Raw genomic sequence first — 27987 nt, forward strand, 5'->3', positions numbered from 1 at the left:
TTTTGCCGAGTCTAATTCCAGAGTAAGAAAATAACACTAGTGCCTGACAAACAGCCAGCACCAGGGGGTCGAACTGCATAGATTCTAGAGTTGCAGGGCCTGGGACCAAATGGCAGCTCTGTCATTTTTGCTTGTGAATGTTGCTGATTTGGGCAACTTATGTGGTTTCTGTAAGTCTTTGTTGAGAATCTCTACAGTGTGGGTAATCATGCCTGTATCAGTTTCCTATTGCTGCTGTAACAAAAGACCACAAACATAGGAACTTAGAACAACCCAAACTCATTATCTCATTGTTCTGGAGGTCAGAGATCTGATATGGATCTTACTAGGCTCGATCAAGGTTTCAGGAGGGCTGCGTTCCCTCCAGAGGCCACCACTTTCCTTGGCTCATGGCCCCTTCCTCCATCGTCAGAGCCAGCACTGGCCAGCTGTGTCCTCCCACGCTGCATCCCTCTGACTTCTTCCTGCTGCTTCTATTTATAAGGAATCTTGTGATCATATTGGGCCCATGCAGGGAATCTAGGATGATCTTGCTATTTTAAGCTCATTGATTAGCAACCTTAATTCAATCTGCAACCTTAATTCCCCTTTGCCATGTATGGTAACATATTCACAATTTCCAGGAATTAGGACACAGACATCTTTGGTGGGTTATTATTCTGCCAACCACATTACTCTTCTCCTAGTGTGAGGGGGAAGGGGTAATGTGAGAGCAAGCAGGCCCATGGCCTGCATGTAACTGAGTGGCTGTCTTCAGAAGCCGGACACAATGAGCCACGCTGACACCAGGAAGTTGGAAGACATGTCCTGTCTTGCATTGTCCCATAGGACCTGCAAGTGCCAGTAAAGACTACTATCCAACTTTGCCCACCTAGCCTGCTAACCTTGGGAGAAAGCAATCATCTGTCATCTTAGGCCAACATTCCTTTTGCCTTTGTTAGCATAGAATCTAAATAACAGACTATATGCCCAAACCCACCCTGCCACTTTCCTCTTGAACCACAGGCACTCGGCAGCATCTCCACTGCAACTCCAGGATGCACTGGACCACACATCCAGGAATGTCCCCTACGGACATCTGGGAGCCCAGTCCCAAGGCCCCTCCAGGAGCAGACACCCTTCTATGCAACTTGGGGCAACTCAGCCTTGCTCTCAGGAGACAACTGAGTGGCCAGTCTCTTCCCTGACACAGAGGTTACACAGGAATCCCCTCCGTGGACAAGAGCTGGCCAGGTTGTATGGCAATGCCCAGTTCTCATTTTCTGAGTCTTTCCTCATGATAGTTGTTCCCACAGGCCTCAGGAGCTATTCCTCAAGCCATCTTTGCCCTTCAAAGCTTAAACAATTCCTGACCCTAATTTCCAAATCTTTTCTGCTTAATCTATGCACCAAATATCATGCTCAGCCATCTGTGTAGTCCCCATGTGTATTCGTCTATTCTCAAGCTGCTAATAAAGACATACCCAAGACTGGGTACTTTATAAAGGAAAGAGGTTTAACTGACTCACAGTTCAGCATGGCTGGAGAGGCCGCAGGAAATTTACAATCATGACAGAAGAGGAAGCAAACATGTCCTTCTTCACATGGCGACAGCAAGGAGAAGTGCCAAGCAAAAGGGGAAAAAGGCCATCAGATCTTGTGACAACCCACTCACTGTCATGAGAACAGCAGCATGGGGGTAACTGCCCCCATGATTCAATTACCTTGCACCAGATCCCTCCCACAACATTTGGGGATTACAGGAACTAGAATTCAAGATGAGATTTGGGTGAGGACACAACCATCCCATATCACCATGTGACTACAGGTGCTGCTGGAAATCTCCATTAAAGGATCTCTGGAAATGGATGAACTCTGTTGTATTCTTCACAATCACAGCCACACAGCTTGACTGACACTGAAGGTCAAAAGAGGCCTATTCATTATCCCATGAAACAGCTGTCTTTAATGATGCCAGTGGGAACTGTGGTACAGTGAGGAAGGCTGAAGCCTGGCTGAGTTCGTCAATTCCTCAGTGCTGGCGTTTGAATTGATACCCCACCAATTCTGAACTCTCTGAATCTGTTTCCTCCTTCTTAAAGTGTTCAAAGTAACTTTGCAGTATTATGGCTCAAAACAAAAGAGAATATCTATGGCTTTGCAGTTCAATACTTTGCAGTATTATGCCTCAAAACAAAAGAGAGAATATCTGTTCAAAGCTACCACTTCTGGTACCACATTCTGATTACCTATGGCTGCATCTCAGGTGATCCAAAGCTTAATGGATTCAACAGCAACCATTTTATCATATCTCACAGATTCTGTAAGTCAGGAATTTAGGCAGGGCTCGGTCAGGGGACTCCTCTGTGCCTCATGTGCCCATAGATATTGCTCAGTGGAACTCAGCTGGAGGTGGACTGGTCTGGAGGGTGCGAGACAGCATCACTCATGTGTTGTCCAGGCAGTTCTTGCTTGCAGTGGCTGCCACAAGCACTGAATTAACTCAAATGGAGCCACTGCTTCTGAGGAAATTCAAGATTCGATTCCCGTGAGCTTCAGCTCACGACATTTCTGTTGACTGATCAATATGCAACTTTGGTTTTTGTGTGTTTTTGTTTAAAGATACCTTATTGAATATCTATTTCTTAAAAAATAATTAGTTATATGAAGTATTTTCTTTATAAGGAAACACTAGCATGGAAGAGTTTATCATTTTCCTGAACCTGGGTAATGTGTCCATGAATTTCTTTGGCTCTCAGCCTCACAAAAAAATGCTGTCACTACTCTTTTTTCTATATGTCATAATCTCAAAAATCTACAGATTTAGCCATTTCCCCATCTTTTTCATAGCTCCATCACACACCAAAGATTTAGTTTAAGCACTTTCTAGGATGGCCTCCCTTACAGATTGGCAAATTTCCTCTTCTCTTTTCCCAATGTACCATGTTGTTGATTCTAACCTTGAACTCAGAGCCAACAGCATTAAAACTCCTGCCTGAACAAAGCATACTGGACACACATATTTCCTCTGCAAGGCACATCAAAGCCTTTTTGCACTTAGGAACACTGGTCTGCACTTAAGCCCTATGTTTGGGGGTCACTTTAAACAGTGAAATCAACAGCAAAAAGCACAAAACACATGGCGCTAGGTAGACGGTGAAAAGGACCGTTGATTGCAGTATTGAGAGCTATAACAAGAAGGCAAAGTATCTTCTTGTGTGACCTCAGCTGGGAACATGCACATTGAGAGACTCAAACCTTTTGCTGCCCCATACACATCCATGAATAACTACAACAGTGCTGCAAGTATTGATTTGGGGGTTTTGAATAAATTTTAATGAGCAGATAAATTTGCAAATACAGAATCTGCAAATAATGAGGGTCACTGGTATTTGGTGCTTTTTCGAGAATGGGTGGAAGACGGCACTCAGCTGGGACTGTCCAATGGGGAGAGGTCCATGTGTGGCCCTCCAACATGTCACAGGGCACTTGGACTTCTTATTGTTTTTCTTGATTTTCCTCATACAAAACTCTGTGTGTGTGTGTGTGTCTGTCTTTCTTGAAGCAAAGTCTGTAACTAAATAAACTATGTTACTTTGTGTTCATTATTCAAACATTTTAGGGACCAGGAGAATTCTATGGTTTGTTTAGTAGAAAAAGCTTACCAGGCTGGGCGCAGTGGCTCACCCCTGTAATCCCAGCACTTTGGGAGGCCAAGGCGGGCAGATCACGAGGTCGAGAGATCGAGACCATCCTGGCCAACATGGTGAAACCTCGTCTCTACTAAAAATACAAAAATTAGCTGGGCGTGGTGGTGTGTGCGTGCCTGTAGTCCCAGCTACTCAGAAGGCTGAGGCAGGAGAATTGCTTGAACCTGGGAGGCTGAGGTTGCAGTGAGCCAAGATCATGCCACTGCACTCCAACCTGGTGATAGAGCGAGACTCCATAAAAAAAAAAAAAAAGAAAAAAGAAAGAAAGAAAAGAAAAAGGTTGCCAAAAAAAGACCTTGATGCCATCTAAAATATGCCTTTTCTCAAATCCTTTCTAATTGTGCTATGTTTAGAGCATGAAGAACATGACACAAAAAATATAATTGCATCATAATTGGGTCAAAAATTCAGTAAAAGTGACAGTCCTTGAAATTTACTATTCTGTATTGGTCCCTTAAGAAATTATCAGCAAGAATATATTTAGAAAATAAGTCCATCACCAACTCATTCCCTTTTAGTTACACAAATCTACAGTCTACCCAGTTAGGAATAATCCTTCCCTCTTACTTCATTAATAAAAAGACCAAATCATTCATCATCCATTTAGGACACCTTTTAGAGTGAAACGGGACACTCTTAATCATGCTAGGATAACAGGCATAAGCCAAGTCTGCCAAGACAAACTGGGCATTGCACCTGTCCCACCTGTGGCAATATTCATAATCAATATAAACCTCAGGATGTTTATAAGACTTGCTTGGTTGTAATGCATTGTATCTTTCCAACTATGATACAAATTACTTTCAGGGGACACAGGTTGAGCTCTCTTTTCTAAAGCCGTATTCAACAGACCTTAATTGGTCCACAAGCCCTGCAAACTATTTAAGCCATCTATCCACCAAAACACCTCCCTTTTGTAAAAACTAATGATTATCAATTGCCTTGAGAAATGTGATGAAGCATTTCAAAAGTCACTCTCACTGTAGTTTCTTTAAGTGTATTGCACTTGATTCTTTTCTTAATCTGGAATTCACTTTCTCTTTTTTAAAAAAAATTTGTTTTTGTGTTAGAGGATTTTTAGGAGAATAGACTAAGTTTTAGTATCTCCCCATTCAAGACATAACAGCTCTTCTCAAAGGTATTAAAGCAGTAGCAGCAGTTACTCCTCCCTTCATTCTTAGACTTTCACCTCCAAAGCCAAGTCAATCAAATGCAAAGAAAAAGTCAGTCCATCTTGCATTATATATACTAGAGTAATGGTCTTCATTTATTTCACAGGTTTTGTCGTTCATTCTTTGCATGCAGACATAGCCAAAATCCTTTTGTACCATTTGTAAAGTGGAAATGATACTACCACTACTATTATTAGTCCCTTAAAATCACCTGCAGCACATTGTGTGTTTGTGTGTCTCAGGGGATCACCTGAGCTATTGGGAAAGGTTAAAACACACACCTGAGTTGAGAGGCCAGCTGCGCCTTGGGCTTTATTCCACGGAGAGACACGTCCACCTAATGGAAACTTTCTCACCACACTCTGTAAACAGAAGCCTGTGGTCATACACCTTCCATGTAGCCCAGACCCCAGATCACATTGCAGTTGGTCCCTGTGGCTTGCCTCCATCCTTGGGCTATTTAGATATGCCAGATATACAGCACTCATGTTCTCTTAATTTAAGCCTTTGCATAGCTGCTCAATATCTGCCTGCGCTCCTGGCCTAACTGGTGAAATTAGAAGCGTTGAAACTTCTTTTTGGTGACCTCTTACTATTTTACTATTTCTCAGGTACCAGAAAAGAAAGGTCTCCCTGTCCACATCCTACTGATGTATTGCTGATCAGTTCAAACCAACTTTATCTATTCTGTATCCTAGTAAACATACGACTTGTCCTTCTAACATCCACTTGGGTGGAGAAGATCTGGTAGAGAGGAGAAAAAGTGGACATTTTACAGAAGTGAAGTCAAAACAACAATTTCAAGAAATCATTCAGGATTCTATGAAATTCTGATCTCACTTTACACTTTTCATGATCTCTGATGAATAAATCTTTATGCGAGGAGGCTGGTTTAGGGACTTTGCTGCTCTGGGTTTGAGTACCCCACAGATCCTGACCAGCACTTCCCACAGCTTTAATGACCCCCATTCAGAGATTCTAAACCTTAACAATATCAAGACTTCGTGCAATTCCTCTTATGGTTCACTAAAAAGCTTAGGCTAGGGCCGGGCACGGTGGCTCACGTCTATAATCCCAGCACTTTGGGAGGCTGAGGCGGGTGGATCACCTGAGGTCAGGAGTTCAAGACCAGCCTGACCAACATGGTGAAACCCCATCTCTACTAAAAATACAAAAATTAGCCAGGCGTGTTGGCATGCACCTGTAATCCCAGCTATTTGGGAGGCTGAGGCAGGAGAATCACTTGAATCCGGGAGGTGGAGGTTGCAGCGAGCTGTCCAGACTGGGTGACAGAGCGAGACTCTGTCTCAAAAAGAAAAAACAACAACAACAACAAAAAGCTTAGGCTAAATCATTCGCCTGAAGGTCTCAGTGTCCTCCAGTTTTCATGTACAAAGATGGCGTTTCCACCTTCTCAGGACTATCATCTCAAGAGCAGACTCAGGCACAGTCCTTTCATATTGACTCCCGCTCTACATTTCATCACCTTTCAGAGAATGCGCCCAGAACAACAAAAGACTGTTTGCAGTTCTAATGATTTTCTTGCTGACCTTTGACCATGCAGACAACACTCTGTTTTCTCTATCCCAAAATGTGTCTGTGCATAATGCCGTGTGACATTCACCTCTATCTTTGAATTGCAATGAATTAGGGATTAGAGCCTCAGTGAACGCTGCTGCCCTTTTCAGGCTGTTTCAACTCTGCAGGGATTTATTTGCCCCATTTTATGTCAGTAACTTTGCCTTTGCAAGCTTTACCTAGGCTTCTTTAAAAAAATTATTTTTTTAACTTATAGAATATAACCAGAGCAAACCTTCAGAGCTGTGGGGCAGGGAAGACTAATTGGTGTTCAAACCACTTTGAAGCTTTTAGTCCAAGGGCAGTAGCATCTCCATAAATGTTGTGAGTATCCAAGGGCCTGATTTCACTCCAAGAATATGATTTGTGCAGTTTGCAAGTTGTTTTCTAATTGTAGGATGTGAAGAACTGTCGGCTAGAGTCTAGATTGATTCTGATGAGAGCCCAGAGACACAAATTCATCTTCACTTGCCCTCCTTGTTTCACGTTTAGATGGCCACAGATTTCATCTCCAAGATATTTTAAAAACACTGTTTTCCCTGTGGTCCCTACCCCGTCATGACCATCCATGTGTCCTCCATTAAATGTAACCAATTTCTGTATCTTTTTGAACTTCAAAATATTTCACAATCAATTGTCTAGATAAACTTACATCTCATTTAAAATGGCATAAAAGGCGAGAGAGAAGCTTGCTTGCTTCTTGAATCTGATTACAAAAAAATTATCAACTATGTAACTTTTTACTTTAAACTACCCAGAGCAGCATGAATGGTATGTCTCAGAAAAGGCAAAAATAATAATATTTCCCAAACTCACTAAGGTAATTATTCCTGCCTTATAAATAACAATACTTGACAAATATAAAACACCTTCACATCAAAGTCACTCACACTGTGTTTAAAAAATTGAGGCTGATATCTCTGGGTCCCTATCTGAATAGCCAGATGCAGTCTCCTGGGGCACGGCAGGGAAGGAAAGAGAAGCAACATTTACTGAGTCTCTCGTGTGTTCTTACATGTTTAACCCCATTTAATTCTCACAGTAACCCGGAAGTTACAATTTTCCTATTACAGAGGAGGTAACTGAGGCTCAAAGAGGTTCTGTACCTTGCCCAAGGTCATTCCTGCTAGCAGAGGCAAGGTTTGAACCCACTTTTGGCTCCCTGCAAGGGGTGTCCCATGTGAGAGATAAAGAAAAGTCCCTCAGGACCTGTCACCTTGAGCAGTAGCCTAACTTCCTGCTGAAAATTCTAGCAGGTGGCCTAGAAATTGGAGAATGAAGCAAGTCAGAGAGAAAGAGAAACATCCATGAAAGAACTGGCAATGGACTGTCTTCAGAATGACCCAACCTTGGTTCTCAAAGGGCATCTGGTTGGGCCTCAGTGTCACTGGTAGGACACAGCGAACACCTGAGGAGGTGTGGCTGGAAGGCACTGGGACTTCAGAATACAGCAAGGCAGGAAAATAAACAGAGCCATGTCCAGTCCAAACTGGAGTAAGGGACTTGAACCCTCAGAAGCTGGCTTGAGCGGTGTCCTGGGGTGTGTTAAGGTCACAGTGGATCCAAGGACAGAAGATAGTGGAAGGTCTTTCTGGGGGAGTCCACAGAAGAGGGTTTGGGGTCAGAGCAGAGGTCAAGATTCAGGGGCAGAACAATGGTGTTCAGCAAGTCAGAGTACAAGCTCAGGGGAGAGGTGGCCTGGACGAGCCCTGTGGTAATTGCAGTGTATTCGTCTGTTTTTAGGCTGCTGATAAAGACATACCTGAGACCGGGCAGTTTACAAAACAATGATGTTTAATGGACTTACAGTTCCACATTGCTGAGGAGGCCTCACAATCATGTCGGAAGGCAAGGAGGAGTCGGTCACATCTTACATGGATGGCAGCAGGCGAAGAGAGAACTCGTGCAGGGAAACTCCCATTTTTAAAACTGTGAGATCTCATGAGACTTATTCACTATCACAAGAACAGCATGGGAAAGACCCGCCCCCATGATTCAATTACCTCCCACTGGGTCCCTCCCATAACATGTAGGAATTCAAGATGACGTTTGGGCGGGGACACAGCTAAACCATATCAAGCAGGTACCCAGCTGCTGGGCTAAGAAGGAAGGGTGGGCAAGGGGTCAGGGCTGGGATTTTCTTTTCCCAGCCCTGTCCCCCAGCATGGTCAGTATTATCTCGGAACCTGAGCAGGACCAAGCCCTCCGGTGCTGTGCCTGGCCTGCTGCGCTGTGTGGCTCTAAGAAGGTAGGGCCTGACCAGAGTCCTCAGGACCCGTGTGGGAAGGCACTGAGCTAGAAAAAAATACACCAGTTGACAAACAGATGGGAAATTAGAAAAGAAGTAGAAATTTCCTGTAACCAAAAACAAATAAGAGCCTGAAACTGAAAGTTGAGGCTTTTTCCTTTGGAAAAGATGTCCCAGCACTGACTTTTTTCCATGACTGGCCATTAAAGAGGCAGGCTGGCGGGGAAGGGGATGTTTCCAGGGCTGGCCCCACCCAGCGTAGTGACAAAGCACAGCCGCTGTTTCAAGCTTGGGGAGAATTTTGGTGCATCCGGCCTAATGCAGTGACTCATGCCTGTAATCCCAGCACTTTGGGAGGCCATAGTGGGAGGACTGCTTCAAGTCAGGAATTCAAGACCAGCCGGAGCAACATAGCCAGATCTCGTCTCTACATAAAATTTAAAAATCAGCTGGATGTGTTGATGTGCACCTCTTGTTCCAGCTACAAGGTAGAAAGATCACTTGAGCCCAAGAGTTTGAGGCTGCAGCAAGCTATGATCACACCACTGCACTACAGCCTGGGTGACAGAGTGAGACCCCATCCCTAAAAATTAACAAAAAAAGTGAAAAATAATTGGTGCATTAAATTGAGAGGATGAAGTGGATTACAGATGTGGAAATAAAAGTACGGAGGCGAGAGGTTGGAAAACACAATGAATGTACAGATAACATTGAGCAAAACAGCTTTTCGGGTGCAGGCTGCACCTCTGGAATTGGGGAAGGAGATGCACAAAGAGGGCTTGTGAGCAGTGCTGGGGTGGGTTCTGAAAACACCCTTCTCAGCCATCACATACTCGCTGCAGGCTGGGCATGACTGTTGAGCTTGCCCCATGATGGAACACAGTTGCTAGCTAGGTGGGGCAAATGGGCTTCTTTCACTGCTCTCCGACAAGACGGTGGCTTCCCAATTAAGCACTGCATCTGCTGAATCATGAGGTCTGAGCGTCCCTCCAAGCAAAAGTGCAGATGCTGCCCCTGCAATACCTGTGTGTCCCAGAATGTTTGACAGGGGGAGATGCCTTGGAGCACTTCCTCAGACAATTTCTGGACAGGATGAGAAAATTCGGCTCGTCAATATCTGCCATTGCTTACAACATACAGGCAAGCATGCTTCCGGGATGTTGAGAAAATAAGAGAACTTCTCTGAATTGCTTTAAAGGAAAATTATTGCCCTCCCTTTCTCTGCTGTCTGGCACTGAAATACTGTTTTCTCCAGTTTGCTACATAGTCCTCTCTTCTGATGTTTATCTTTTTTTTTTGACTAATATTTGTATTGGTAAGAGGTGCTTTGGAATTTGCACACATGAAGAAATAAAGAGCTTTTTTCCTCTACATTTCTAATATTCAGCTGCTCTCTTACCTTTCTTGTCCAGGTATTTTGACTTTTAAATTCTCTAGGTGGTTTCTCTTTCTCTTTCTCTTTCTTTCTTCCTTTCTTTCTTTTCTTTCTTTCTCTTTCTTTCTTCTTTCTTTTCTTTCTTTCCTTTCTTTCCCTCTCTCTCTCTTTCTTTCTTTCCTTCCTTCCTTCTCTCTTTCTTTCTTTCTTGACCAAGTCTCACTCTTTTGCCCAGGCTGAAGTGCAGTAGTGTGATCTCAGCTCACTGCAACCTCCATCTCCTGGGTTCAAGCGATTCTCCTGCCTCAGCCTCTCGAGTAGCTGGGACTACAGGAGTGTACCACCACACCACCTGGCTAATTTTTGTATTTTTTTTTTTTTTTTTTTTGAGATGGAGTCTCGCTCTGTCGCCCAGGCTGGAGTGCAGTGGTACAATCTCGGCTCACTGCAAGCTCTGCCTCCTGGGTTCACGCCCATTCTCCTGCCTCAGCCTCCCGAGTAGCTGGGACTACAGGTGCCTGCCACCGCGCCTGGCTAATTTTTTTGTATTTTTAGTAGAAACGGGGTTTCACCACGTTAGCCAGGATGGTCTCGATCTCCTGACGTCGTGATCCACCTGCCTAGGCCTCCCAAAGTGCTGGGATTACAGGCGTGAGCCATGCGCCTTGCCTAATTTTTGTATTTTTAGTAGAGACAGGGTTTCACCATGTTGGCCAGGCTGGTCTTTAACTCCTGACCTCAGGTGATTTGTCCACCAAGCCTCTGCCTGCCTAGGCTCTGCGAATTATGTAGTCAGTTCTGTTCAGCATTTTCAAAAAATCTCTCCTCTCAGAATTCTGAGGACACGACTCTACTGCCTGCTGGATTTTTATTCTGTGGAAGTCTGAAGCCAGGCCTGACTGGTTGTTTGGGGTTACCTGACTTTTTGTTTTTATTGCGGTTGTTGCTCTTATTTACTTACTGCTCCTATTTACTCTGGGTCCCTTCTTTGTGCCTGAAACATCCAAGTGTCACAAAGCTAAGTCTCGGTGTCCCGCTCTTCTAAATAATTGGACTTTGTTTTAATGAACCTTTTTAACATGAAGGCCAACTCTTTCTTTAGGTCAAGAGCGTTTCTATTTGTTCAGTGTTTCTTTTCCATGTGTTCTGTACTTTCTTACATGTACATGCCACATCCTTAAACTATGGGTCTTTTTTCCTCCCATCATTTTCACTTCCTCATCTTTTTCATACCCTTGACTTTTATTTTTAGGCAGAAGAGTTTGTCACATGTGTCATCTACTTCACTGATCAGGTTTTCTGCAGCCTCGAATCTGTTGTTGCTGCTTCCATCTGGGATTTTAAATTCCACTATTGTGCTTTTTTCATCTTCTCACATTATTGCCTGATCTCGCTGTTCTTTCTCTGCCCATTTGCCTTTCACAGGTGCAATATCTTTCTGCATGTTTTAAGGAACGCATGATAGAAAATTTGTAACATCTCCTTTTTCTTACATAACTGTACTACATCGGAAGACATTTGCTCTGGTTTGTTTTGAAGTCCCTTATTTCATTAATGACATGGTTTGTCTGTGTCCCCACCCAAATCTCATCTTGAATTGTAGCTCCCATAATTCCCACATGTTGTGGAAGGGACCTGGTGGGAGATACTTGAATCATGGGGGCAGTTTCCCCCATACTGTTCTCATGTTAGTGAATAAGTTCCACAAGATCTGATGGTTTTTTAAAGGGTTCCCCTCTCACTTGGTTCTCATTCTCTCTCTTGCCTGCTGCCATGTAAGACATGCCTTTGCTCCTCCTTCACCTTCCGCCATGATTGTGAGGCCTCCTAGCCATGTGGAATGGCGAGTCCATTAAACTTCTTTTTCTTTATAAATTACCCAGTCTTGGGTGTGTCTTTATCAGCAGCATGAAAACAGACTAATAAAATTGACTAGTGATTTTCTCTATAATATTGCTTTGCCAAGCTATTAATTAGCTCTCTCTTTATTACTTCTTGTAAACAGTAGTCACTGATTGTTTATTATCAGGAATCAAGATGGATTCTGACACATATTATCTGGATCCCTTCCAGCATCTTTTAGACTCAATAAAATTTAAAGACATTTATAGAGATTTCGATAGCCAGATCAGGTATGCAGCATGCTGCTGAGACTAAGGAGGGAACCTGATTGTATGAGTTCATTCTCACACTGCTATAAAGAACTACCTGAGACTGGATAATTTATAAAGAAAAGAGGATTAGTTGACTCACAGTTCCATATGGCTGTGAGGGAGGAAACTTATGATTATGGCAGAAGGCAAAGACAAAGCAAGCCCTGTCTTACATGGTGGCAGGAGAGAGACAACATGCAGGGGGAAGTGCCAAACAGTTTTAAACCATCAGATCTCATGAGAACTCACTCACTATCACAAGAACAGCAAGGGGGAAATCCACTTCCATAACCCAGTTACCTCCCACCAAGCCCCTCCTCCAACACGTGGGGATTACAATTCAAGATGAGATTTGGGTGGGGACACAGAGCCCAGCCATATCACTGAGCCAGCAGCTGTGGCAACACAGAACATTGCTTAGTCCAGAGAACCTTTTTCCATGCTTCTTCTGACATCAGCAATTAATACTAGTATATAATATCCAAAATATCTCCATTTATCAAAAAATGTCTTGATTTATGATAACTATAGAATAGTACAAACCATATCATTATACTGCAAAGGAATGGTACTGTACATATTATTTTGTAACTTGTTTTTTTTCACTTACTGGCATATAGGGTGTATCTTAGACACATTTCTGTTAAAATACATGTAGGTCTTCTTCATTCCTTGTCATGGATATATAGCATTCCATTAGATGATACCAAATTCATCAATCTGTTCCAGACTGATGGCACTTAGGTTGCTTTAGGGCTAGTTGGTTTGTTGGTTTTATTTTGTTTTGCTTACAGTATAATTTAGTGGATCCCTCATTATTTCGATATTCCCTTATAATTTTTTTTTTTCCTGAGGTGGAGCCTCACTCTGCCGCCCAGGTTTGAGTGCAGTGACGCAATCTCGGCTCACTGCAACCTCCGTCTCTTGGGTTCAAGTGATTCTCGTGCCTCAGCCTCCCAAGTAGCTGAGATTACAGGCACTTGCCACCACACCCAACTAATTTTCATATTTTTAGTAGAGACGGGATTTCACCATGTTGGCAAGGCTGTCTCAAACTCCTGACCTCAAACAATTTGCCCACCTTGGCCTCCCAAAGTGCTGTGATTACAGGCATGAGCCATTGTACCCGGCCTCCCTTAAATATTTTTAAACACAAATTAAGGCTTTTACACAAATGTCTCCAATATATTCATTTATGTAAATAAATTTTTTTAGAATAATACTACCTCTGGGATGTGAGGCCATGGAGGGGTCATGTGGAAGGAATGAGCTAATATATTTCACTTTCAATCCTTTGCTACTGTCAGTTTTTACAACTAAGTGTAATGCTTTTCTAATTTTAATCAAAATATATACAGAGGTAATGCTATAATAACATTTTCACAAAGACAGCCTTTTTCTTTCTCAGGACTGTATCTCAGGAGATGTGTCTAAAAGTTAGATTACTGGGTTAAACGGCACAATCCTGAAAGTGTTATACCCACTCTTATGGTCTGGAGAGATCTCAGAGGTTTAACATTCTGCCTGTGGTTCCTACCAGCAGGTAAAAATAGAGATAGCCATTGCATTACTCTGTTATAACACTGCTATAAAGAACTGCCAGGGCAGATCATGAGATCAGGAGTTAGAGACCAGCCTGGCCAACACGGTGAAACCCCGCCTTTACTAAAAATACAAAAATTAGCTGGCCATGGTGGCAGGCACCTATAATCTCAGCTACTCAGGAAGCTGAGGCAGGAGAATCGTTTGAACCCAGGAGGCGGAGGTTGCGGTGAGCCGAGATTGCGGCATTGCACTCCAGCCTGGGCGACAAGGCGAGACTCTGTCTCAAAAAACAAAACAAAACAAAACAAAAAAAACTGCCAAGACTGGGTAACTTATAAAGAGAAGAGGTTTAATTGCCTCAGCCTCTTCAGCCAGTTCCACTGAAGAGGCCTCAGGAAACTTACAATCGTGGCAGAAGGGGAAGCAGGCACATCTTACATGGCAGGAGGTGAGAGAGAGAGCGAGAGGAGGGCAGAGAAGAGAGGAGACAGGAGAAGGGTGGAGAGAGAGACAGGGAAAGAGAGCAGGAAAAACTATCATTTATAAAAACATCAGATCTCATGAGAATTCACTCACTATCAGGAGAACAGCATGGGGGAACCACCCCTATAATCCAATCACTTCCCTCTCTCCACTCCTGGGGATTACAGGTCCCTCCCTCAATACTCGAGGGTTACAATTCGAGGTGAGATTTCAGTGGGGACACAGAGCTAAACCATATCAGCCATATTCCATTGTGTTGTGTCTAACAGTGGAAGCTCCACATATGCAGCTAGTGTGAAGGAGGTGATCTTAAAATCCATTCGAAGAGGCTCAACTGGTGGAAGTGCTCGAATGGGTCCTATGTGATTCAGCTCCATTCTCATCCACTTGCAGCTCTGGATCGAAAACCCAGAGATGAGTGACATTCTGTTCTTATGGGTGCCCAGAGTGGTAGCTGGTGTATTTGAGGATGGCAGATAGTGCTATAAAACAAGAGTCCCGTTGAGACTTTGCTCAAACAGAGCCCCCGCCTGTCTGTTGGAGATTCTTTGTTTCACCCTTTTCAGTAACCAGAGCCACAGCTTCTTTGCTCACGTCCAAATGGAGAAAAAAAAATGGCTGAGCTTTGCACTGCCTGGGTCACCCCTAACTCAATCCCTGCCACCAGGCTGCAGATTTGGGTAGCAGTTTGTTGCCCTAACACAGGATAACTGTGATTGGTTGATATCAATCAAGATATGTCCCTAAAGACCCAGAGGAGCCAATCTCAATCAAGCCTTGGCTGCAGCACAGTGAGAAGTCCCCTGGCATGGCCAGGAGAAACCTACTTTGCCCAACAGGTACGTATCCATGATTGGAAAGGAAAAAAGACCAATTTGTACTGAACCTATATTGAGTACTGACTAAGGAGCTTTTACCATTTAATTTAACCCCAACAGTCCTTAGGGGGAGGGCTTGCTATGCTTATTTCACAGATAAGAAAACTTTAGCTCAGAGAGTATGAGTCATTTGCTTAAGGTCCCACAGCTAATATGCATCAAAGCTTATCTCACCGATTTCATATGCTGCTTGGCACAGCTTGTTAATGACCCTGAAGTCCATCCAAGCTAGACCTGGGAAATACATTTTAGATCCCATTCCCCCAAGTTTTGTTGTTAAAACTCATGTAGAGTATTTGGAATACATATATATGGAATATGAACATATATATATATATAAAAACATATATATATATGGTTTAGACTAAAGTTGGAAGGAAAACTAAAGATATGTTTTTTCCAGTTAAGCATCTTCTAACAGTTTAAGTAATTGGTTTGTGTTATCAGATTGTGGTCTAAACTAGATCACAGGAATGAATCATAGCTGATGTAATGCACACATGTCTTAGCACAGCTATTATGTGGTACCCAGGTGCACTGAATTTTACAATATGAAACCAGAGCTCTGCCCTTGAACCCGGTGAGCAATTATGGCATCATGAACTAGGCACTTGGATGCAGTTCAAAGAGCTGAGAACAAGTTACGAAAACGCAGGGAAAGTAAACTTCGGAGTTCCAGAGAGGTCACTCAATCTCCTCCTGGCCTTGCAGAGATGCCGATATCAGCTCCATGTGAAAACTGGTGGGGAAAACCTACAAGTCCAGGCTTTCACTTTTCCCTTAAAAGAACAGGGGTTGTCCTGAGCTGTGTAGCCTCTGGGATGGTGAGTCTTCCAGAAAATTTTCTCCCAGGGGACTTCACGGAAGAAGAAATTCCCTTCAAACTTGGGCTTTTCAGTTCTGTTACTAGCATTTGGGATTGGACCAATAGCCCCTGATGGCAATTCTGGTTGGGCAGGGGAAGTGTGAGAGTGTGGTGGGCAGGTGGGTAGAGGTGGGAAACGAAGCAAAGGGACAGAGACATGCAGGCTAATGTGGATGGTGGAGACCTCCCAGCAAGGGCAGCACTGCCTGCAGCAATGCCAGAAAGACAGCCTGAAAGAGAAGCTTTCTGCAACCTTAGTTCTTTTTGCTCAGGAAGTACTAAAGTTAGAACCTGCTGTCTTTTAAAAAGAAATGATGTTATTTCACAGATCCGCACATTTAAATAACAAATAAGCCAAGACAAAACAAAACAAAATGTGAAGTCCTAAAATTTAGTTAAGATACATTTTTCTTCTAAGAGACTGCATGGAAATTTTGTTGTTGAAATAATTCACTGTGCTGAGCTTCACTTGAAATGCTTAAATACCTTGAAACCATTTCCATTTTTGCCTTTACTCAAAATAAGTGGTTACTTTCTAATGAATGAAAAGCCCAGTATGTGAAAAGTGTGGCTTAGGCCAATAAAAAGGGAGGTAACAGCATTTTAGTAGTTTCTCAGAAGCAGTTAAAAAATAACACAATGAAGTTTAACAGGCTGAGGAAACATCACACCCCATCATTAAAAACAGCAATGCCAAAAATACCCAGGGGTGAACAGAGGTGAGGGAGACTGCCAAAAGATTATTGCTTGAAGGATTGCCTTTCCTTGTACGGGTACCTACCCAGGGCAGTTGCTCCAGGTTCATGCAGGGGTGGCCATATTTTGTATCACGTGATCCTCAGTCCACAAGCTGATTGGACCAGAGGAGGCCACTTCCCCAGAGGCTGATCAGAACACCGTGATACAGCTCCCTGCAGGGGGCGCTGCGCTGTTTTTGCAGCCAAATGCAAAATGAAACTGTAAGTGCTCTCATTCAAAAAGCAGGAGAAACGTGCCATGGAATGTAGTAAAAGATAAGGCTTTTCCCTTTTTCTACAGTCTCTCAATTTGTTATGGTGTTTTTACTTTGCTCCTTGAGGTCGTTTTGAGTAAAGAAAGAATACAATTTTAAATCATTAGCATGAATTTTACCATTACTCTTCATATTGTGCAATTTCACGTTTAAATACAAACATAAGTACATTTAACTCATATGCAGCATCACCAAAATTACACAATTTGTATTTTGTGGCTTGTACATGCATATATATTTCATTCTTAGCAGAACATTGGAAACACTACAACACATGAACTCAACTGTCTTTATTTCACTTCTTGGTGCACACATTTTCTACTAACAACCTCTACTTTTGGCTTATTGATGAATAAGGAAAGACTTAAAAAAAAAAAAAAAAAAGGAAAAAGCAAGTCTGGCTCTCTTGCCCTTTCCTTCTAAGTCCTCGTTTTCAGCATAAGGGGTTAGCTGGCATAGCTCTGAAGCCTGAATATCTGAGACAGATCTCAGTTAATTTAGGAAGTTTATTTTGCCAAAGTTAAGGACATGCACCTGTGACATAACCTCAGGAGGTACTGATGACATGTGCCCAAGGACATCGGAGCACAGCTTCTGAGAAACCATTAAAATGGTGTCACCTCCCCTTTTATTGTCCTAACCCACACTTTTCACATACTGGGATTTGCATTCATTAGAAAGTAGCCACCACCTGATTTGAGTAAAGGCAAAAATGGAAATGTTTTCAAGGTATTTAAGCATTTCAATTGAAGCTCAGTACAACGAATTATTTCAACAACAAAATTTTCATGTAGTCTCTACAGAGATATGAGACATCAATCAATATATGCAAGATAAACATTGGTTTAATACTGAAATTCCAGGTCATAGGTAGATAAGAGACAAATGGTTGCATTCTTCTGAGTTTCTGATGAGCCTTTCCAAAGGAGGCCATCAGATATGCATTTATCTCAGTGAAGAGTGGGATGACTTTGAATAAATGGGAGGCAGGTTTGCCCTAAGCAGATCCAGCTTGACTTTTCCCTTTAGCTGAGTGATTTGGAGGCCCCAGGATCTATTTTCCTTTCATGTAAGGAAGTCACATGAGTAACGAAGGACATGACAGAGTCCCTTGGTAATTCACGTTTCTCACAGTGCCATTGACTTCCTCCAACTTCTAGAGCAAGTCCTGGATCTAGTGACACATGTACTGAATAAATGACAGTGGGAAGCAGAGCAAAACTCATGGGGCCAAGATACTTTCATTTTTCCACTTTTTTTTTTTTTGCTGGCACTTTGTGTTGCTGTGATATGTAAACATAGATGTCAATTTTCAACACTTTCTTCTTCCTTTTATTAAAAAAAAAAGTTACTGTGTTTCATCATGATTGGTTAAGAATTATTGTTTTGTGTTCAGGTTTTCATTGGTAAAAGATTGAAACTGGGCCCCATGCTGTGGCTCATGCCTATAATCCTAGCACTTTGGGAGGCCGAGGCAGGCAGATCACCTGAGGTCAGGAGTTCAAGACCAGCCTGGCCAACATGGTGAAACCCCGTCTCTACTAAAAATACAAAAAAATTAGCCGGGCCTGGTGGTGGGCGCCTGTAATCCCAGCTACTCAGGAGGCTGAGGCAGAAGAATTGCTTGAACCCAGGAGGTAGAGGTTGCAGTGAGCCGAGATCACACCATTGCATTCCAGCCTGGACAATGAGAGCAAAATTTCATCTCAAAAAAAAAAAAAAGATTGAAAAAGATTGAAACTGACTGCCAGGCATGGTGGCTCACCCCTGTAATCCCAGCACTTTGGGAGACCAAGGCGGGCAGATCACCTGAGGTCAGGAGTTTGAGACCAGCCTGGCTAACATAGTGAAACACCATCTCTACTAAAAATACAGAAATTAGCCGGGTGTGGTGGTGCACACCTGTAATCCCAGCTACTTGGGAGGCTGAGGCAGGAGAATCGCTTGAACTGGGAAGGCTGAGTTTGCAGTGAACCGAGATTGTGCCACTGCACCCCAGCCTGGGCAACAGAGCAAGACTCTGTCCCAAAAAAAAAAAAAAAAAAGTATAAAAATGAAAATGTATCATTTTAAATTAGATTTACTTGTTTAATTATTTACTAAGTGACAGATTTACCAGACTCAAAACTTTAAATTGTTTAAGAATGAAATAGAAGCAAAATTCTCCCTTCCTCCTCTGCTGCCTTATCCTCTCTTTCCGCCCTCTCCCCAGATAGATAACTATTGTAATCAATCCCTTAGTTATCTTCCGAATTTTTTAAATATACATCTAAAGTCTGTTAAATTGTGACTCCAAAATATACATTCATGTCCTAATCTTCAGTATTGGTGAATGTGACCTTATGGGAAAAAGGATCTTTATCAGCAGATATCATTAAGTTATCTCAAGATGAGAGCACTCTGCATTGAGGAGAGGCCCTAAACTCAACAGCAGGTGTGGGGGTTTTTTGGGGATTCTTTTTACTTTTTTTTTTTTTTCGAGATGGAGTTTCACTCTTGTTGCCCAGGCTGGAGTGCAATGGCACAGTCTCGGCTCACTGCAACCTCTGCCTTCCCAGGCACAAGCAATTCTCCTGTCTTAGCCTCCCAGGTAGCTTGGATTACAGGCATGTGCCACCATGCCCAGCTAATTTTTTTGTATTTAGTAGAAACGAGGTTTCACCATGTTAGTCAGGCTGGTCTCAAACTCCTGACCTCAGGTGATCCACCTGCCTGGGGCTCCCAAAGTGCTGGGATTACAGGCGTGTGCCACCACACCCAGCCGAGGTGTTCTTTTAAGAGAAGAGAAAGTCAGAGACTTTGAGAAGAGGGCTATGTGAGTCACAGGCACAGATGGAAGTGAGGCTGCCGTCAACCAAAGAAGGCCTAGGACTGCCAGACGCTGGAAGAGGGAAAGGGGGACTCTCCTTCGGGTCTTCAGAATGGGCCCATGTGGCCCTGCTCACACTTGATTTCAGACTTCGACCTACAGAATTGTGAAAGAATAAAACTCTGTTGTCTTTAAGCCATCGTGTTTTTGGCAATTTGTTATAACAGCCCCAGGGACGGAAAACAACATCTAAGCAATGCAAGAATATATTCTTTTTTGTGTGATTTTATCCTTAAAAGCCTTCACCCTTTAGTGACGTTATCTCTTTAGAGAAACATAAGCAGTTCTCAAGGAGGTATGGATCTCACTGAAACAATGAACTTAATGACTGCCACGGCCCACTCTCGTCACCCCTGCCAGGAAGGGATCTGAAGGCTGAACCATATCTTTTCCAGACACTGTAGCTGAAAAGTGTCGCACCTGTCACAGATTCTCAGGGCCGCCTCCAAGAAGGGAATACCTACGCCTGCTGCCAATGCAAAGCTGTGAGAAAGTCTTTTTACTCCCAGCAGGAGGGCCACATTCATTGACTTTCGTTCACCATTTAACGGTAGTTCTTAGAATGTGTCACCTAGTCTGCTATCACAAAAATCCAAAGCCTGAATAGTTTTTAAACCATAGGAAAGTTGGAAGAAAAATATTTTCTACTCCTTAATAATGCCAGGGCTTAATTATACACTTCTTGAATTGCAGCTTCAGGGAATTTCAAAACACATAATTTAGCCTTCTTCGACCGTATGAAATATTCTATTGGAACAAACAAGATTGGGGCTATTATATCAAGTTCATCTTACCCAGACAGTAGAAGCAGTAATTCATACTTTCAGAGAGAGGGAGAGAGAATTTGCCTTAAGCGGCCAATTTTAACTTCTGCAGATTCTAATTTTTAACATTGGGGTTAAGCTCCAGTTAATGCTGAAAATAAATGTGTGTTGCCTGGAGCCAAAGGCAGAAAATTGTGAGTCTCGGGAATAGTACCAGCCATTAACTCTTTCGTTGCAGGACAGTGGGAATGCAGGGGCAGTAAACGAGAGGTCGAGGTGGGAAGAGCACTGAGGAACCCTGGGACATTGGGGGTGTGGGGCTTCTTGGAAAGACAGCTATTTCTGACCTGGCACAGAAATACTTCAGCATTTTAACAACCAGTAATGTGTTCTGGTGCATGTCAGCCGGATACAGTCCTAGTGATATGAGGATAAACAACACATCCTACCCAATACTTTTACACCCATCATCCTGTCTGACTCTTGTACCAAAGGTCTGAGTTCACTGAGTTCAGTGTTATCCATGACACTGACGGCTCCAGGATGCGAAACGGCTCCACCAGGGTGGCCCCAGCAGTAAATTGTACTTGCAGGCCTTGAGCCCATATTTTCAGATTTCAAATCCAGCCCTCTTTTCATTAAATAGCAGCTACTTTTTCAATGAGATTAAATCTTCCCAGCCTAGGCACACAACCAAGCCAGTTTCACTTTGGGTGGCAGAACCAAAGAAAGCCATACCAAAGCCAGAGAAGAAGCAGGGGGGATCAGAGTCAAGGATGGTGTGGGAGTTGCCATGAGGACACGTTTTTAAAACTGAGAAGCCTCAGGCCTCTCTTATGGATGAGAACCTTAAAATCGTGACTGAGGAGTAGACAAGCTGAATGTAGACCTCTTTTTTTTTTTTTTAGATGGTGTCTCACTCGTTTGCCCAGGCTGGAGTGCAGTGGTGAGATCTTGGCTCATTGCAACCTCTGCCTACCAGATTCAAGTGATTCTCCTGCCTCAGCCTCCCGAGTAGTTGGAAGTATAGGCACCCGCCACCACACCTGGCTAATTTTTGTATTTTTAGTAGAGACGGAGTTTCACCATGTTGGCCAGGCTGGTCTCGAACTCCTGACCTCAAGTGATCGGCCCACTTTGGCCTCCAAAAGTGCTGGGATTACAGGTGTGACCCACCGCGCCCAGCCTCGTCTCAGCAACTTACTTGATAGAAAGAGGTCAACATCAGAGTAAAGAAAACATGACTACCTTACCCAATAAGTAGCAGAATGTGCTAACCCAAAATATCAAACAAAAATTGTCAAAGGGGATTTATGTTCATATATGGATGCCACCAATAATAGGTTATTTTATAGGAGAATGGGATCGGGAAGGGCACAACTTTGCATTGAAACTGCCATCAAAGAGTTTCCCTCTTTCAGGGGAAAGACAAGGACAGGTTGACCCAAGCCTCTCCCCAGAGGCTGGTCTTGACTTCTCTGCTGCTGGGGGCCACTAAAGATGTCTCCCAAGGCCAGATCTGAAGATAAACAGTGGCCCGGTGCTTTTTTGCCATGGCTGAGATTTCTGTCTCTTTCTACACACTCGTAGGCAGAGGAAATAAAGTGTCTGTCTCTGAAACTCCAGTGGGCCCAGCCATTGCCAAGGCTGAAGCATGGTGTGTGCTGTGTGTGCACTTCTGCCTGCTGCATTTGCATATTTTATTCCTGTTTTAAAGCTGAATAATGGATTCAGGTTCTGAGCAATAGAATCTCTACATAATTTATTAGCCAGTCCGGGCTCTGCTTTGTGCTCAGGTGAACCTTGCCCCACTTTTATCTGCGGCTGCTGCTGCTCTGTGAGAATGAGCCCAAGGCAGAGCCTCTGCAAACTGAGACCCAGGGCTAGGCAGGGAGAGGGGGAGATTGGTTCACACTGCAGGATGTTTTTTCCCAGTAGCCAAGAAATGCATTGTCTGTGGAATGGTAAACAACACGGGGGGCTAGGATAGACCAACTAAACCTGAACTTGAGTCTAACAACTGTCATGGGATGGGAAGGATGACCCAGTGGTGCCACATGAGAGCAAGCTGAGAGATGTCATCGTGACGGTCACGCGTTTAGTTTCGAACCAAGCAAATGCAAGTATTAAGGACCTATCTTGTGTTACATACCATGTTGAGGACTGCAGAGATCAAGTCAAAAGTGTCTCTACCTGAAAAAGCAAAGTAAATTAACAATATGTTATTAAAACGAATAAGAAAGCTAAGTAAGTTTTCAGGCCCAAAATTAACATGAAAGAGCCAATGGTGGATAATGTTAAATCCAGGATTTGCTTCAAAATAACTGGGGAGGTAGAAAGGAGTATGTGGCGTAGGGAGAAAGGAAGAGTGGGCATGACTCAGCTTGGTTTGGGGAACACAAGGATTCCTCATTCCCCTCACACAAGTTGCCTTTGCTTTTGAAACTTTCCACTATAAGAAGTTTTATTTTCAAAAAACTATCCCATTCACAGTAACAAGAATTATAAAACACATTAAAATATATCTACCAAGTAATGCGCTATGCATATATAAAGAAATCTTCTGTAACGCCTAACCAAAAGCTAAAAACCTAAAGAGAAAAACAGGGTATTTCGGGATAGGAGTTTTTTTAACCAGAAAAATATTGATTTTACCTTAATCTATAAATTCAATGTAATCTCAATGAAAACTCCTGCCAAAATGTATTGTATTGGACTTGGTGGTTCTATGAAAAAGTAAATAAATACATAAATAAAAATTTAAGGGGGGAAGAGCCAAGATGGCCGAATAGGAACAGCTCCGGTCTACAGCTCCCAGCGTGAGCGACGCAGAAGACGGTGATTTCTGCATTTCCATCTGAGGTACCGGGTTCATCTCACTAGGGAGTGCCAGACAGTGGGCGCAGGCCAGTGGGTGCGCGCACCGTGCGCGAGCCGAAGCAGGGCGAGGCATTGCCTCACTCCGGAAACGCAAGGGGTCAGGGAGTTCCCTTTCCGAGTCAAAGAAAGGGGTGACGGACGCACCTGGAAAATCGGGTCACTCCCACCCGAATATTGCGCTTTTCCGACGGGCTTAAAAAACGGCGCACCACGAGATTACATCCCGCACCTGGCTCCGAGGGTCCTACGCCCATGGAGTCTCGCTGATTGCTAGCACAGCAGTCTGAGATCAAACTGCAAGGCGGCAGCGAGGCTGGGGGAGGGGCGCCCGCCATTGCCCAGGCTTGCTTAGGTAAACAAAGCAGCCGGGAAGCTCGAACTGGGTGGAGCCCACCACAGCTCAAGGAGGCCTGCCTGCCTCTGTAGGCTCCACCTCTGGGGGCAGGGCACAGACAAACAAAAAGACAGCAGTAACCTCTGCAGACTTAAATGTCCCTGTCTGACAGCTTTGAAGAGAGCAGTGGTTCTCCCAGCACGCAGCTGGAGATCTGAGAACGGGCAGACTGCCTCCTCAAGTGGGTCCCTGACCCCTGACCCCTGAGCAGCCTAACTGGGAGGCACCCCCCAGCAGGGGCATACTGACACCTCACACGGCAGGGTACTCAAATAGACCTGCAGCTGAGGGTCCTCTCTGTTAGAAGGAAAACTAACAAACAGAAAGGACATCCACACCAAAAACCCATCTGTACATCACCATCATCAAAGACCAAAAGTAGATAAAACCACAAAGATGGGGAAAAAACAGAACAGAAAAACTGGAAACTCTAAAAAGCAGAGCGCCTCTCCTCCTCCAAAGGAACACAATTCCTCACCAGCAACGGAACAAAGCTGGATGGAGAATGACTTTGACGAGCTGAGAGAAGAAGGCTTCAGATGATCAAATTACTCTGAGCTATGGGAGGACATTCAAACCAAAGGCAAAGAAGTTGAAAACTTTGAAAAAAATTTAGAAGAATGTATAACTAGAATAACCAATACAGAGAAGTGCTTAAAGGAGCTGATGGAGCTGAAAACCAAGGCTCGAGAACTACGTGAAGAATGCAGAAGCCTCAGGATCCGATGCGATCAACTGGAAGAAAGGGTATCAGCGATGGAAGATGAAATGAATGAAATGAAGCGAGAAGGGAAGTTTAGAGAAAAAAGAATAAAAAGAAATGAGCAAAGCCTCCAAGAAATATGGGACTATGTGAAAAGACCAAATCTACATCTGATTGGTGTACCTGAAAGTGATGGGGAGAATGGAACCAAGTTGGAAAACACTCTGCAGGATATTATCCAGGAGAACTTCCCCAATCTAGCAAGGCAGGCCAACGTTCAGATTCAGGAAATACAGAGAACGCCACGAAGATACTCCTCGAGAAGAGCAACTCCAAGACACATAATTGTCAGATTCACCAAAGTTGAAATGAAGGAAAAAATGTTAAGGGCAGCCAGAGAGAAAGGTCGGGTTACCCTCAAAGGAAAGCCCATCAGACTAACAGTGGATCTCTCGGCAGAAACCCTACAAGCCAGAAGAGAGTGGGGGCCAATATTCAACATTCTTAAAGAAAAGAATTTTCAACCCAGAATTTCATATCCAGCCAAACTAAGCTTCATAAGCGAAGGAGAAATAAAATCCTTTACAGACAAGCAAATGCTGAGAGATTTTGTCACCACCAGGCCTGCCCTAAAAGAGCTCCTGAAGGAAGCGCTAAACATGGAAAGGAACAACCGGTACCACCCACTGCAAAACCATGCCAAAATGTAAAGATCATCAAGACTAGGAAGAAACTGCATCAACTAACGAGCAAAATAACCAGCTAACATCATAATGACAGGATCAAATTCACACATAACAATATTAACTTTAAATGTAAATGGACTAAATGCTCCAATTAAAAGACACAGACTGGCAAATTGGATAAAGTGTCAAGACCCATCAGTGTGCTGTATTCAGGAAACCCATCTCACATGCAGAGACACACATAGGCTCAAAATAAAAGGATGGAGGAAGATCTACCAAGCAAATGGAAAACAAAAAAAGGCAGGGGTTGCAATCCTAGTCTCTGATAAAACAGACTTTAAACCAACAAAGATCAAAAGAGACAAGGCCATTACATAATGGTAAAGGGATCAATTCAACAAGAAGAGCTAACTATCCTAAATATATATGCACCCAATACAGGAGCACCCAGATTCATAAAGCAAGTCCTGAGTGACCTACAAAGAGACTTAGACTCCCACACATTAATAATGGGAGTCTTTAACACCCCACTGTCAACATTAGACAGATCAACGAGACAGAAAGTCAACAAGGATACCCAGGAATTGAACTCAGCTCTGCACCAAGCGGACCTAATAGACATCTACAGAACTCTCCACCCCAAATCAACAGAATATACATTTTTTTCAGCACCACACCACACCTATTCCAAAACTGACCACATACTGGGAAGTAAAGCTCTCCTCAGCAAACGTAAAAGAACAGAAATTATAACAAACTATCTCTCAGACCACAGTGCAATCAAACTAGAACTCAGGATTAAGAATCTCACTCAAAACCGCTCAACTACATGGAAACTGAACAACCTGCTCCTGAATGACTACTGGGTACATAACGAAATGAAGGCAGAAATAAAGATGTTCTTTGAAACCAACGAGAACAAAGACACAACATACCAGAATCTCTGGGACGCATTCAAAGCAGTGTGTAGAGGGAAATTTATAGCACTAAATGCCCACAAGAGAAAGCAGGAAAGATCCAAAATTGACACCCTAACATCACAATTAAAAGAACTAGAAAAGCAAGAGCAAACACATTCAAAAGCTAGCAGAAGGCAAGAAATAACTAAAATCAGGGCAGAACTGAAGGAAATAGAGACACAAAAAACCCTTCAAAAAATTAATGAATCCAGGAGCTGGTTTTTTGAAAGGATCAACAAAATTGATAGACTGCTAGCAAGACTAATAAAGAAAAAAAGAGAGAAGAATCTAATAGACGCAATAAAAAATGATAAAGGGGATATCACCACTGATCCCACAGAAATACAAACTACCATCAGAGAATACTACAAACACCTCTATGCAAATAAACTAGAAAATCTAGAAGAAATGGATAAATTCCTTGACACATACACTCTCCCAAGACTAAATCAGGAAGAAGTTGAATCTCTGAATAGACCAATAACAGGATCTGAAATTGTGGCAATAATCAATAGCTTACCAACCAAAAAGAGTCCAGGACCAGATGGATTCACAGCCGAATTCTACCAGAGGTACAAGGAGGAACTGGTACCATTCCTTCTGAAACTATTCCAATCAATAGAAAAAGAGGGAATCCTCCCTAACTCATTTTATGAGGCCAGCATCATTCTGATACCAAAGCCGGGCAGAGACACAACAAAAAAAGAGAATTTTAGACCAATATCCTTGATGAACATTGATGCAAAAATCCTCAATAAAATACTGGCAAAACGAATCCAGCAGCACATCAAAAAGCTTATCCACCATGATCAAGTGGGCTTCATCCCTGGGATGCAAGGCTGGTTCAATATACGCAAATCAATAAATGTAATCCAGCATATAAACAGAACCAAAGACAAAAACCACATGATTATCTCAATAGATGCAGAAAAAGCCTTTGACAAAATTCAACAACCCTACATGCTAAAAACTCTCAATAAATTAGGTATTGATGGGACGTATCTCAAAATAATAAGAGCTATCTATGACAAACCCACAGCCAATATCATACTGAATGGGCAAAAACTGGAAGCATTCCCTTTGAAAACTGGCACAAGACAGGGATGCCCTCTCTCACCACTCCTTTTCAACATAGTGTTGGAAGTTCTGGGCAGGGCAATCAGGCAGGAAAAGGAAATAAAGGGTATTCAATTAGGAAAAGAGGAAGTCAAATTGTACCTGTTTGCAGATGACATGATTGTATATCTAGAAAACCCCATTGTCTCAGCCCAAAATCTTCTTAAGCTGATAAGCAACTTCAGCAAAGTCTCAGGATACAAAATCAATGTACAAAAATCACAAGCATTCTTATACACCAGCAACAGACAAACAGAGAGCCAAATCATGAGTGAACTCCCATTCACAATTGCTCCAAAGAGAATAAAATACCTAGGAATCCAACTTACAAGGGATGTGAAGGACCTCTTCAAGGAGAACTACAAACCACTGCTCAACGAAATAAAAGAGGATACAAACAAATGGAAGAACATTCCATGCTCATGGGTAGGAAGAATCAATATCGTGAAAATGGCCATACTGCCCAAGGTAATTTACAGATTCAATGCCATCCCCATCAAGCTACCAATGCCTTTCTTCACAGAATTGGAAAAAAACTACTTTAAAGTTCATATGGAACCAAAAAAGAGCCCGCATCGCCAAGTCAATCCTAAGCCAAAAGAACAAAGCTGGAGGCAT

At 43.1% G+C, this 27987-nt stretch overlaps 1 long non-coding RNA gene across 5 annotated transcripts in view; it reads right to left on the bottom strand.

The window, feature by feature from the left end:
- LOC101927896 (uncharacterized) overlaps positions 1-23896 on the bottom strand; it is a 95712-nt gene extending 71816 nt beyond the window's left edge. For 2 of the 5 annotated variants that reach the window (XR_007088126.1, XR_007088127.1), the window contains exons 1-2: positions 23656-23861; positions 22784-22824 (exon numbers count right to left, since the gene is read on the bottom strand). This is a non-coding gene — a long non-coding RNA (uncharacterized LOC101927896). Of the gene's footprint in view, positions 1-22783; positions 22825-23286; positions 23583-23655 lie in introns of those variants that run through there. The other 3 variants (XR_002959457.2, XR_007088125.1, XR_007088128.1) reach the window with 3 other exon arrangements.
- Positions 23897-27987: the final 4091 nt, after the last annotated feature.

Source organism: Homo sapiens, chromosome 2, assembly GCF_000001405.40.
Source record: "Homo sapiens chromosome 2, GRCh38.p14 Primary Assembly".
NCBI classification, from domain to species: Eukaryota; Metazoa; Chordata; class Mammalia; order Primates; family Hominidae; genus Homo; species Homo sapiens.